Source organism: Homo sapiens, chromosome 12 (assembly GCF_000001405.40).
Source record: "Homo sapiens chromosome 12, GRCh38.p14 Primary Assembly".
NCBI classification, from domain to species: domain Eukaryota; kingdom Metazoa; phylum Chordata; class Mammalia; order Primates; family Hominidae; genus Homo; species Homo sapiens.
The window spans coordinates 67,519,538-67,533,971 of record NC_000012.12 but is presented as its reverse complement, the minus strand read 5'-3'; the positions used below and the strand labels follow the sequence as shown (position 1 = coordinate 67,533,971).

The following is a 14,434-nucleotide window of genomic DNA, read 5'->3' as shown; positions in this document are numbered from 1 at the left end:
CCTGTCTTAAACACTTTGGAGGATAGTTTCCTTGATTCTCTGGCATCTGACCTGAGTCCAGAGGTGGTCCCTCCACAGTCAAATCTAAATTGTGAGATCTTACTGGATCCTTGCCATGGATGATGGATCACCTGACCATTGGGTGGTCATCTGCCCCAATTTAACCCATATCACAAATAAAAAAAAATACTGAGAAATAGAGCATCATTGGAGCCAGGGGCAACTCTCTCAAGCAATTCTTCTTGAATGCAAATGAGATACTCCAGTATCCAATTAATATTTTTAAATTAAAGTTATTTTATTTATTTATTTTTGCTTAACTAACTAATCACTTTCTGCTACTTGCAACCAAATAACTGTAACTGATACAATCCAATTTTCTGTCAATCCCACTCTGAGTCTTGAACTTGCCGTTTCGTATGATACTTCTTGCCTTGCTTTTATCCAAATGCAGTTCTCTTTTCATTGATCATTTTCTCTGCTGCTTTCTTCCCTCAATTAACAATGGCAAAGTTGGAGTACTTTAATCTTGACCACATTTTCCTTGGACTCACCAGCTATTGACCTTCTCAGATGACCATGCAACAATTAGATGCTGGAGAGAAAAACCACACTTAGGTACTTAAGAGGGATGAATGGACTGGCCTAAAGCCAAAGGGATGGTGAAATTGCTATTAAATTAATAAACTTCTCAAATTGCCTCAGTTCCTCTGAGCACTAAGAAGGTACTAAAAGTCTGCCTCAAGCCCACCAGAACCAACCAATTGACTCATATTGCAGGTCAAGTCAGTTCAGTCTCCTTAAATCACCTCCCTTTTGACTACAGCTTGCAATTCATATAATAACCAATCAGCAGGCTGGTAGGTAAAATAACACCCAGAAGAAGAGTATTATGAGATCCAAACTTCAAGTAGAGTTATAACATAAAATAAAAATTCTCACTGTGAATGTTAGTGCTGTCTTTGCTTGAACTGAGAGAGAAAACGAAGACCCTTCTGGCTGTTCTTCTACTTGATAAGACTGAGAGCAGTGGCTATAAATTAGGAAGTAACAAATAGTGCTGGGAGGCAGCATTTGCATTGCCCTGGTTCCTCCTGGTAGCTTTATTGACTGCTCAGCAGGATAATGGGAAAAGCAGATCTATTATGGACACTGGTGAAGGCAAATGATTTGCACAAGTGCCTAAAGCACTTCATGTGCAGCCTTCTCATCTCCAGGTAATAGCAAGCATGGATAACCAACAGTGTGTTTTAAGAGCCTCTAGTGTCTACATCAGCATGGCTAAAGGTGCTCTTAATTGCTTTTCTATTAAGATGCATTAAATTAACTTTACCAAAAAATATTGCTTACTTAGTTCAATGAGGGAAAATTAAATTTAGATTTAGAGTCGAGGTACAGATGCAAAATAAGCACTAAAACCTTCACATTTTTACCATAACATATGGGCAAAGCAAAATGCAAATGTCTTTGTAATTCCTGATTTGAATATAAGTACTATTGTGTCTGACACCAACACTTTTTACTTTTTCAGTATGATATTTGGGGGGGAAAGATGCAAGAGTGAAGGACATAGAGTGTATTTGGACTCTCAATCATTAGTTGCCTCAGATAGGTCAACCACCCCATTTAGAATGAGCCAGTATCAAAGTCAACCAGATAAGGCTGGATCTTATCCTTACCCTTATATATTCTGAGTCAGATATATTTAGATCCCCAGAAAGAGCACTAAACTGGGAGTCCTAAGACTCAGGTCCCTCAGGCTTAGTCAAACACTATTTCCTATGTGAGCCTAGAAGATAAAGGATTCCGAGTCTAGGCGATCTCTAGATTTCCGTCCAAGTCTATATAATGCTTACGAAGGATGATTTTCTTTTTTATTCTTATTATCCTAAAATTTAGATTTTAATTCCACAAGTTCCATGCGAAATCTGAACATGATATACTCTTATTTATCTAGAATCTAAACACCCAAAAAGTTCAATAATCAGACTAGTTTTTGTTAAACTATATAATTTTCAAAATATGGGCACCATGTTGTACAAATCCTAAATTACCTTCAGAATCATAAAGATTAATTTCTGTTCAGTTTGGTTTTATGAAGTATGCTGTATTTTAATCCTATTCCAGAGACATCTCAGGAAATGAGAAACAAGTCTGAGTCGTTCAGAAAAGACTAAACATCCTCCGTTGTTCCACCAGAGTCTCTAAACCTCAATAATGAGGCTGTGGTTTGCATTGATTCCTTTTTCCTTGTAAGTAAATCTTCTTTCATTTGCACTTGCCTCATTTCCATCAGTTATTCTTGGCATCCAGAAAAGGCGAACTGATTTGATTTTTTTTAACTAAAATCAGAATCCTGCCAGACCAGCTAACATAAAGAAAAGAGTCACAGACAGCTTTGGATCTTGAAAGGACTGACCCAACTTGGGTGAAAATTCCAAAATCATATTAGAGGAAACATCTTTTGTTTTCTAATAGAGAGCTGAGTGTGACCAAGAGATGTTTGTCTCTTCCTAGAAAGAACACAGTTGCTCTAAAGATGCTCGGTGTGCATGTGCTCCCCAAGGGTAAGACACTGTCCCACCTTCAAGGCCATGCAGTCCCTCTGGGGAGATAGGCAAGTCCACACCTGGCAAAGCCCTGGCTCAGCTCACCAGAGAGAAGAGACCTCACAGCCTGGGTGGGGCTGAGGTAGGGGCAGTGCCCAGAGGAGGAGCCTTCTGAGCACCATTTGCTTCAGGGAAAATTTCAGATGGTGTTTACTTTTTCCTTTCATTCTTTTTCTTTTTTAAAGCATTGTATAATAGTGACTAAGACCATCAGACTCTAGAGCCAGACAGGCTGAGCCTAAATCCTGGCTTAGCCACATAATAGCTGAGTGACCCCAGGCAAGTTATTTAACCTCTCTGTGCCTCACTTTCCCCATTGTAAATGGAGATAATAATAGTACCTGTGTATTAGTCTGTTCTCATGCTGCTAATAAAGACATTACCAATACTGGGAAATTTATGAAGGAAAGAGATTTAATGGACTCAAGAGTTCCACATGGCTGGGGAGGCCTCACAATCATGGCAGAAGGCAAAGGAAGAGCAAAGTTACATCTTACATGGTGGCAGGCAAGAAAGCTCGTGCAGGAGAACTCCCCTTTATCAAACCATCAGATCTTGTGAGACTTATTCAGTACCACCAGAACAGCATGGAAAAAACCCACCCCCATGATTCAATTACTTCCCACCAGGTCCCTCCCATGACATGTGGGGATTATGGGAGCTACAATTCAAGATGAGATTTGGGTGGGGCACAGCCAAACTATATCAACCTGTTTTCTAGGGTTGTTAGATTAAAGTGCTTAGACCAGTGTCTGGCACATAGTAAAGGCTGGTTACAGATTCTTATTCATCTTCAGTATTTTAGGTTTTAATGTCTTGCCCATTTAAAGGTCAGGGTTTTGATGACTTCAGTGCTCTTGGACATGACAAAGAATGTGACATGAATAGGGTGAATAGGAAGGGTCTCTGAAGAATCAGTTTGTTTCCAAGCAACGTGGCTCCAACTTACCTTACCTACCTCTCTGCTCCCAGCTCTCTCAAGTGTACCCACCCCCAGCCTGCCCCTCTCCTCCTGCCCTTCTTTCCAACCCCAGCCCCACATTCTTTCAGGATTGTGGCCAACTTCTACCTGCCCATTATAGACCTCCCTGATCTCACCAGGCTGCATTGCTGCATTGCCCGCTCTTTGGGGTGCTCCTGAGAGGCACTTTACCCCCTGAAGACACTTTTTACATACCACTTAGTATTATAGTCAGTACTTTAGTACTTTTTAAAATCTAGCCTTACTGGATTATAAATTCCTTGAAGGCAAGGCTGTGTCTCAATCCTTTTGGTAATTCCCACTGTTCTGAGTACAATGACCTTCACATGGTCAGTCCTGAACTTGTTTCCTAAATGAATGTACACATTAAAAGCAAAAAAAGAAAAAAAAAATGCAAAAATTTGCAGTGAATTGGAGAGTGGGTTTTGGAATTGGACTGACTTTAATTCTGGCTCTGTCAATTTTTGCTGTAGAACCTTTGGAAGTAATTCAGTTTCTCATCTCCTCATCAGTAAAGTGGAGATAACCATATGTATTAGTCCATTTTCACATGGCTATAAAGGACTGCCTGAGACTGGGTAATTTATAAAGAAAGAAGGTCTAATGGACTCACAGTTCCACATGGCTGGGGAGGCCTCAGGAAGCTTACAATCATGGAGGAAGGTGAAGGGGAAGCAAGGACCTTCTTCACATGGCAGCAGGAGAGAGGGAGTGGGGAACTGCCAAACACTTTTAAACCATCAGATCTCATGAAAACTCACTCACTACCATGGAAACAGCATGGGGGAAACTGCCCACACGATCCAATCACCCCTCACCAGGCCCCTCTCTTGATACGTGGGGATTACAATTCTACATGAGATTTGACTGGAGACACAGAGCAAAACCATGTTACAGGAGTACCTCAATTTTACAGTTACTGTAGGAATAAATGAGATGATGTGTGTAAAGGACCTGAAAAAGCACCTGGCATTTAGTAAGAGTTCAATAACTGTAAACCTTAGTTGATGCTGTTGTCTCATTACCTTCCACATTATTATGATTAGTCTGGGGCAGTTTTGTTTATAGGGAAACATCCCTCCACCTGCCAATGACCCCTAAGGAGAAAGATGTATTTAATGCTGAACAGACTTTAAGGGTAAAAATTATAATCCTGAGTTAGTAAAAATTATAAATATACTTAGCATATTCTGCTTAAGAATTCAAGGAGGTAAGTTTGGTATTTTAGAAACCAAACTTGTCCATCAAACAAACATTTTAAAATGTCAGACTTCAGAAAAGTTCCCATCTATGAGTCATTTTGTCCCTAGCCAGATGGTAATATGACCTATAGTTCACCTGTCTGAAGGTGTGGTAAAAGTCACCTGATGGTAAACACTATTTCCCCCCAATACGGTGAGGAGAAAACAAGGCACAGAGAAACATTTGCCTCCAAGATAATAGAATTAGTAGCAAAGCCTATCCAAAAAAATCATTCATTCTCAAAGTTCCATCCAAATACCAAATGCAGAAACAAATCTCATTCAGCTATTTAAGTATAACTTTTAGTAAAAGGACATATCATTAAACTGAACTTTTAAAAATTCAAATCTAAAACCAAGTATGATGATGTGACTCAAATTATACAGCATTTTGGTCCACTTGCTTGTTGAAAGAACTTCACGTGTTCTATTAATCAGAGCTCAGTCAGAAGCCAGAAACCACCAGTTATTTATTATTATTATTGTTATTATTATTTTGAGACGGAGTCTTGCTCTGTCGCCCAGGCTGGAGTGCAGTGGCACAATCTCAGCTCACTGCAAGCTCCGCCTCCCAGGTTCACGCCGTTTTCCTGCCTCAGCCTCCCAAGTAGCTGGGACTACAGGCACCCGCCACCATGCCCGGCTAATTTTTTGTATTTTTAGTAGAGACGGGGTTTCGCCATGTTAGCCAGCATGGTCTCAATCTCCTGACCTCGTGATCTGCCTGCCTCGGCCTCCCAAGGTGCTGGGATTACAGACGTGAGCCACCGCACCCGGCCGCCACCAGTTATTTTAACAGAGAGAAGATAACAAAAATTGTTAACTAAGGTATTGAAAAAACAAAATACATACAGAAAGAGAAGTTAGCAGGAAGCTAGCAGGTGCAGGAAGCAGCTACCAATCCTAGGAGGAACAGAGAGAAGAAATCAGATTTATGAAAACTTAGAAGCTCGGCATTGAGGCACCATGGACTGAAACTCATACCCCTCGGAAGGGGCAGCTGTTTGGCTGGCACTGGTTCCTTTGAGATTGGAGGATGAGCTCCATGGGCCCAAGAGGTCCCCCAAGACCCTGAAAAAAAGATATCAACTGACTCCTGCTGGCATATCTAAAGGATGTGAGGAGGCTGATTCCATGAGTGCTAGAAAACTGAAACCTGGATTCAACCGCTGCTACTGAATGGAACTGTTTTGAATGTGGGAGGAAGAAGCTTTGCGAGAGCTGTAGGACAAGAACGCGAAACAAAAGGAAAGAAGGAAGACCCTTTGCCCTTGGCCTGCCCTACAATCTGCAGCCATGCAGTGGCAGAGGTAGACTAAGGAACCAGGTGGCAAAGCACAACAGTACGCTGCAGAGTCAAGCTTGTTGACATCACATAGTAGTGAAGAAAAAAGCGAGCTGGAGGCTCAGAGACAGTAGCTTAACTGGCACAAGTGTCTAGAGGAGGGGAACTTTAAAATATTTTGTTTTGCTTTATTTTTATTTATACCCAATCTAGTGATCTGTCTCTTATAGTTTACTTGGCTCCTATTTGCATATTTTCTATCATAATTGAGGTAAGAAAATTGTCTTACCAATCCAAACATATGTTTTTATTAGACTTTTAGGTTAAAATTACAGGTTTTTAAAAAGTGTAACATCATATTTTCTTTTTCGCCCTGAAACCCAACAAAAGTATGATTTGTCCACTCTACTTATTTTCAGAAATGCTATTTATCTTTGAGAAAAGCCTATATGAATCTGTAATTTTAAAAGATGTGTGAAAGATAATACTAAGAGCATAACGTACCCTATATCAGTAAATAATTATATTTAGTAACTTTAATGATGGGAATTGCTCATGGAATCCACATATCACTGGGAAACTCTCAGTGCTTTTGTTATTATCTTAGAATTGTTGCAAAGAATAAATTGTCCAATACTGGAAATCCCTAATACGATCTGTTAAAGCTTGTCCATTTTACTCAAAAGTAACATTGAGATTCAAGGGAGACAAAATCTAAGATATTTGCCCAAAGAATAGAACTTCTGTTCATTTAGCTCAATTCCCAAAGTATTCTTAGGATGCTATTGCATGTCTGTTACTGAACATAACTTTGAAGGTTAAGGCTACAACAAGGTCTCTGATTCAAGGAGCCAACAGTCTAATGGAAAAGATGTTCCTAACACATATAAAAAGGTTTTGAGTCTGAGATAAGTAGCTGATCACCAGAATCCCCTCTCCTCTTCCTCACTGCAGCGGGGAATTGGAAGCCCCATGGCACCACATTCTCAGCCTCCCTTGAAGCAGCCTGTGGCCCTGTGATAAACTTCTCCCAATGGACAGTGACAGGGTCAATGCATCTGGGTCATAAAACATCCCACATATGCACCTTCACATTCCTGCCCATCCCTCAGGGTAAAATGGCAGACAATGAATAGAGTGACACTGGAAGCCACTGGTCGAGGACAGAAGAGCAGACATCACCCTGAATTTATAAAGGACTGTCCTTACCACCTTCCCCTGCCCACAACCTGGAACTTCTTCCCTGGACTATAACTTGAGAAACAAACTTCTGTTCCATTTAACCTAATAGGCTTTTGGTCTATTAGTTATAGGAGTTTTGTTATAGTTGAAAACCAGTATATTGTTTAGGAGGATATAAAGTAGTTGGGTTAGAGTTCACAGAAAAGATAAAACCTAATCTGGGTCTTAATTAATAACAACCACAATTAATTTAGAGTCTGAATGTGCCAGGAACTACACCAGGAAGTGATACAAATTTTCTCACTGCATTGTCATGACAGCTCTTTGCATTAAGTGTCATTAAACCCTACTTTGCAGATGAAAAACAACCTTCAGGGTGGTTGGGTAATTTCCCCTAAGTTACACAGCTAATAAATGGTAGGCTCATAATCTGAACACAGGAATTTCTGCCTCCAAAGCTTGTGCACAGAGAACATTGCAGGCTGCTGGGGGATTGTGTGAGGAAAGGAGTGGAAGTATGTGTTATCATGGCAGGTGGGGGTTGGGAGTGGCAGTAGCTGTGGGACCTTTCCAGTGACAGTGTTATAAAAAAAGAGTTCCCTTCACTGTCCCCTTATTCAACCCAGTCTTGACTTCTGAAATCTGCAGTGCACTGCTCTTTTCTCTAGCCATGTGACAGCAATGAGAAAGGCTAGAATAAATTATCAACGTATTTAGAGATTACAGGGAAACCAAAAGCCCAGGCTTTACCCACCATCAACCCCACCCCGGAGCAGGAGCCCAGCTTAACTGAGAGAGAACTGGACTAAATAGAGGTCAAAGGGCAATCAAATGGGTGATCCTGCCTACGTAAGAGGAGCCTAGAGGAGAATTGGAAAGGTGAGGGGCAGGGTTCCTGGCCAAGAAACAGATAGAGAAGCCCAAATAAAGGCAAATACACATTAGTCAAGATTCCCAACCATTTGCATAGGTAATCAAGAGTGAACTCTAAGCCATTTGGTTTTGTTTGGATGGCCCTAGAGGAATTCCAGGCAAACAAACAAATGTAAGTCTGGGGATCTCTAAATAAAACCACCTGCAAGAGCTACCAGGCCTTGGGAAACAATGTAGAGTTTTGAATAGAGGAAGTAGACATCGACGGGGGTGGCGGGGAGAGGCATGTACATCATTTCCAATGTTATCTTGGAGCTGACATGTTTAAAGTGTTAGAACTAGTCCTTTTTTTCAATGGAGAATATTTTTAAGTCATTTATATCACAGACGGTTCAGCGGCTCTGATTGGCATGCAACAGCTAAATAGAGCCTTCTGTTCAGCCTGCTGTATTCCAAGACACCCCCACACTCTGTCCTCCTAAAGCCCATCCCAGAGGCCTGCAGTTCTCCTTCACCAACAGCAACAGCCAGCAGCCCGAAAGGTTAAGGCTACTCAAACCAAGAATGCCAGATGCTTTTGCTGCAGAGGCATAACAACAACAGAAACTGTGGATGTTATGAGTGCTGTTTGCCAAAGATGCTTGATGTCTGCCTTCCAGGCACAAGGTGGATTGCACCTCCTGGCCTCCGGGTGATTGAGTGTGGCCATGTAACTAATTCTGGCCAATGAATTAGGAGCAGAGTTGCAGTGCCACTTCCAGCCAGGAGCACTTAATTGCTATGGCAAGACCGTCCAGAGTTATCTTTACTTCTGCTGCAGCAACTGGCAGCGTTTGAAACGACTACTCTTCGAGGGACATGTAGCTTGAGCAAGAAATAAACCATTATTCTTTCAAGTCACTGGGATTTTGCAGTTGTTTGTAATGACCTTGCCTTTTGTGACAGATAACAACAATTAACTTTCATCCAGTGCTCTTTTCCAAGCACTTTATATACATCAATTTAATTCTATCAATAACCCTTTGAGATAGCTACTAGATGAAGACATTGAGGCGGAAAGGAGTTACGTAAATTGCCTAAGATGGCATAGTTAATACAGAAGGTAAAACTAGATTCAGGTGCAGGAAGCCTGTCTCCAGGGCCTGAGATTTAACACTGAGCTGTGCTGCCTCTTGAATAGTATCATGCATTTTAATATGATCACTGTGACAGGCTTTAATAAAATTGCTCATCATCAGAAACATACACATCGGAAACTAGTAAAAACATATCATCATATCAAAGTCACCATAGGCTACCATCAAGTTTAACTCTTGTTTACAGTTAATTGCAACTTTTTTACAAGGAAGAAAAAAATGGCATTTGAAATAATTGCACCCTAGATGTCATTACTTGAGTCACTAAGTTGCATGACAATTTTTAAAAGGTAATAGCTCACACATGAAATAAATAATGCTTAATCCTATAAGCTGTATTTTCTGCAAGATCTGGGTCTACACTCTTGAAACTGCTCTCCCTGGTTTAGAATTATACCTAAACAAATAAGCAAACAAAAACAGGAACTGGAAACATTATCTATTTAGCATGTTTCATTGTAGATTAAACAGATTTTATTCCCTGTTTCCTGGTAATTATATATAATTAAAAAGCACAGAGGAATGTGCATAAAAGCACAATGAAGTAATAATCATGTGAACGGTGTCTTATTTTAACTCACCGCTGAGGGGAAGTTGCTTTTATTCAGATTAATTTGTGAAAGGGCTGATGAGAACAAGACAGAGTGAGACAGAAGGGAACGTGTTCTTTCAAATTGCTCTGCTCAGAAAACACGGTTAATGAAATACATCTAATTGCACAAATGCTTCAGAAGGCATTATTACTGAGTACACCTTAAAGGTTATGCTCTCATGTAACAGTTTTTTCTTTAGGAGAAAAACTCTCCTATTTTTCAGAACCTGTGCTGGAATCGGATGGACTCAGCTCAGTGTTTTATAGCAAGGCCTAGCTTAGTAGTGATAACGCTCCGGGGCTGAGTTCAGACTCTTCGTGTAGGCATCAGCTTCAGTACCATGCTGCACCTCACGTGTATGGATTCCCCAGAACAAAGACAAGTATGGAAATGTTGACTCTGCCAATTAGGTCATTTATTTATTTAAAAGCAATGTAGGGGACATCTCCTGCACATACGGTGTTGAGTTTGATGCTAAGGGCATGCACACTAGAAGCACATTAACACCCACTGAAAGCTTACTCCACATTAGGCACAGTGCTAAGCACTTGTACTACATCAGTGAATCCTGACAACAACTCCTAAGAGGTCGGTGCCATTATTATCAGTATTTTTGGATCAGGCAGGAGACTAAGGCTTATGCTAACACATCTAGAATGTATATAGTGATTTAAGTGTTCACAGAGAAAATAAAGCATGGGAGGAGAGTAGGAAGTGCTGGGATGATTATGGCCATTTCAAATAGTGTAGCTAGAGAAGGCCTCACTAAAAAGTAATGTGAATAAAGACCTAAAAGAATTGAGGAGAAAGCCTCAGAGATCTCTGAAGGAACAGCATTGCAGGCAGAGACAAGAATGCATAAATTCAAAGACCTTGAGGTGGGAAAATGTGAAAGGCACAGTAAGGAGATCTTGCAGCTGGAGCGGAGAAGTCAAGTCATAGGGAATCCATGAAAGCAGAAGGGGTGGGGCCATGCGGCTTGTTGAAGGACTATTGCTTTTACTCTAAGTGATAGGGGAGGTCCTCAGAGCATTTTCAGCAGAGGAGGATCATGATCTGAGGACAGCAGAATCACCCTAGCCGCTGCATTGAGAATACAGTCATCCCTCAGTATCTGTGGGGGACTGGTTCTAGGATCCCCCTCAGATAACAAAATCCACAGATGCTCAACCCTTTATATAAAATGCATAGTATCTGCAGGTAACCTATACACATCCTCCCTTATACCTTACATCATCTCTAGATTACTTACAATACCTAATACAATGTAAATGCTGTGTAAATAATAGTTACATTTTATTGTTTAGAGTATAAGGACCATGAAATGAAATCTGCCCATGTTCAGTACTGGTGCAACTATCCATTTTCTCCCCAATATTTTCTATCTGGCAGTTGGTTGAATCTGCCCATGCAGGGAAGATGGGCCGACTGTAGACTGAAGGGCAGCAAAGGAAAAGCAGGGAGACTAGTTAGGAAGCCATTGCCATCAACCAGGCAAAAGCGATACAGGTCTGTCCCAGGCTGGCAGCAGTGGCCGTGTAAAGGAAAGGCCAGGTCCTGGATACATCTAATCTTAAAGGTGGAAACGGCAGGATTTGTCACAGATCATATTTGGAGGGTCAGAGCAAGACTGGGGTCAATGATGGCCCCAGGCCTTTGGTCTGGCAACTAGAAGCATGGAGTAGTCTTACTGACACGGAGAGGACAAAGCACAGCACCCTTGGAAGCCCATGTTGAGGCATTTAAGTCTTAAATACCCATTAGACAACCAAAGGGAAATGTCAGAGATGAACAGTCCTGAGATAAAGAGAGCAGAGCTAGAAATAACATTTGAGTGTCGTTTGCATAGAGATGGCATTTAAATCTGAGGGAATGAAAGAGACCACCAGGGAGCTGAGTGTAGAGAAAAGAAGATGCCCAAAGGCTGAATCTTAGGTCACGTCAACCTTTCAAGATTAGAAGATGAAGAGGAACCAGCAAAGAGGATGAGGGAGCAGCTACAGAGACAAAAAGAAAACCGCAAGAGTCCAGACCACTGACCTGGGAGCCGACTAGCCTGGAGAAAAATGACATTATTCCAGCTCTGCTACTTCAGTGGTGCTTTGAAATAAAATGAGAAGACAAATGTGAAATCCTTTGATAAAGTTAAAAATCATTCTATGTCTCCAAGAATCTCAAGAACTTCCCAAGTGTGTACACAAACTAAGTATATTGATTTTTTAAAAAATAAATGTATACACATTTATTATATTGATTTAAAATGTATGAGTTTAAACAAATCAATCAAACCAAAACATATGAAGTAGAGGTCTACAAATAATAATACATTTCAAAATACTGAAGTTATAAAGCCCACCAAGTTTCTTAAACACTGTTGAGTTTCCCTGCATTCTCCAGCCATTTGATTAATCTTTCAGTGCCTGTGGCAACTTAAAGAAAAATATTTGCCTTTCACGGTCAGTATCATCCCAGGATTTAACCTACTGTCTGCCTACAAGCTCTGGAGAATTAGAAACCAAGAATGAGACTGCATACCCATTACCCCTTACGACCGTGATGTCTTGAATCTAGTGACTCTTAACCTTGCATGATATCTTTTATATATTTAAGACTTCTATTTTTAGAATCATGATATTTATGTCTATTGAACTTAGAACTTATATTATTCTAAGAGTTCTTAGGTAATGATGATGACAGACATTCATTCACTTACTCCACAAAAATACTAGAGAGGCAACCTAAGGCAGTCATTCAGAGAATGGACTCTAGAGTCACTTAACAGTTTCTCCATCTATAAAATAGAGACAAACATAGGACTTACCTCCTAGGCTTGTTGCAAGGATTAAATGAATTAATATTCATAAAGCTTTCAGGATGGTGTCTGGCAACATGGTTAGTGCTCTAGGAGGGCTCACTACATAAGAGGAGATATTTAGTGGATGCCCACTGTGTACTTGATACTGTCCTAAGCACTGAAGATACTGTGGAAAACAAGACCCATACATGTGAAGGTGGGGACAGAAAATAGACAAGGAAATAAATGACATAATCCTAGAGTATTAAAGTATTAAACAAAGACATGCAACAGAGTGATTAGGAGCAGAGAGAGTTGGGGAAAAGCCTTTCTCTGAGAAGAGGCAATTTGAACACTGGGACCAGAGCACCCAAAAGCCACCAGGCATGTGAGGACTCAGTTAGAGGATTCCCAGCAGAGAAAACCACAAAAGCAAAGAGATACAGCCATGAAGCCAAAATAGCCCACTTGATCTCAGAAAATAAACCATCCAATTTAATGTGGGGAAGGCATATGAGTCAGACAGGCAAAGCCAAATTAAGCCATTCAGGAATCAGGCAAGGAACATATATCCAGGCGGGACCTCTTCACACTTGATGCCACAATGCAACGATACGTTTTAAATTCCAATGGAATTAATCTGCAAATTTTAATGGCAGGATTCAGGAGTAGGCCCCTTCTTTCACCGACTTACCCGTCTCCTCATTAATATTTCATATAATCTTCTTCATACTGTCTTGGAAGCAAGCAAGACAACAGACAGGGAATATTTCCCCCTATATGAAATGTTTTTGCTACATTATTTTGTCATACCAGGTGTCAACCACCTGGTCTACTGCCAAATCCACTGTACTATCTTAAAGGGTCCATCCTCATCAGGTTATTTTCATAAGCAAATAAATACATCATAAATGACAAATGCTAGGTTTTCTCTAAAGGAAAAAAAAAATCATTTATCTCTAGCCCTGGTCCCAGTCAGTATTTTGCCCACTTATTTTGTCTTATTTTGCCCACTTAGACCTGCTGCTTCAAGTCCTTTCTGCCATTGCTGAAGAAATGACATGAATTCAGACAAAGGAATTACCTGGTCCAATTGTGTCTATCTGAGACAGTCCTCAAATGCTAAGTTAACAGCCATCTAGGATCACACAGCTAAGGAAGGCTTCCCGCCGCTGCCTCCCCTGCCTTTCCTGCTGAGCCTGATGGATGAGCTTTTGTCTTTCTGGCATCCCAAGCCCTTCGCTTTGTTTCACTTTTGACAGCTATGCACCTTGCGGAGAAGCCAGCCAGGTTTGGAAACCAGTTTGGTCCTGACAGACCTGCACAGCGGGAACTCACCTATATATGCAGTGATCTGGGGCAGTGCCTGCCTGGGCACTAGAAAGTCAGACCAGGTTCCCAGAGAGCCCTAAAGGCAACCAGTCTAAACAGATACATCAATCTGCTCACTAAAGAATAAAGCTGGCTCTCCCAATATAATTACAGGCTGGCTGATTTATTATTCCAATCTTTAGTGCGTGGCAAGGTTAGTGTTATTTGTGCCAGTTTATGGTATTGGGCCAAAACATGAAATATCAAGTTAATATGATTGGTTCCAAGAATGGATTTGCACAGAGACAGCTCCTGCTTATGCCAATGTGTGTGCAGGGATTACACCACGTGACAAAGCCCTTTTGAGAAGAAAATGACAATTCTTCATATATTCAGAATGATTTAATAGCTGGCAAGCTACTGCCAAT

At 40.9% G+C, this 14,434-nt stretch overlaps 1 long non-coding RNA gene across 1 annotated transcript in view, besides 1 other annotated feature; it reads right to left on the bottom strand.

The window, feature by feature from the left end:
- The window catches only part of LINC02408 (long intergenic non-protein coding RNA 2408), a 47,050-nt gene extending 33,160 nt beyond the window's left edge, over positions 1-13,890 (bottom strand). The window contains exon 1 of the long non-coding RNA NR_103861.1: positions 13,780-13,890. This is a non-coding gene — a long non-coding RNA (long intergenic non-protein coding RNA 2408). The remainder of the gene's footprint in view (positions 1-13,779) is intronic.
- Positions 13,564-14,229: an enhancer, noted in NCBI's record as "OCT4-NANOG hESC enhancer chr12:67913523-67914188 (GRCh37/hg19 assembly coordinates)". NCBI's record gives its function as "activates a minimal SCP1, AML or CMV promoter by ChIP-STARR-seq in naive H9 embryonic stem cells {active_cell/tissue: H9 hESC(naive)}" and the evidence as "EXISTENCE:reporter gene assay evidence [ECO:0000049][PMID:30033119]".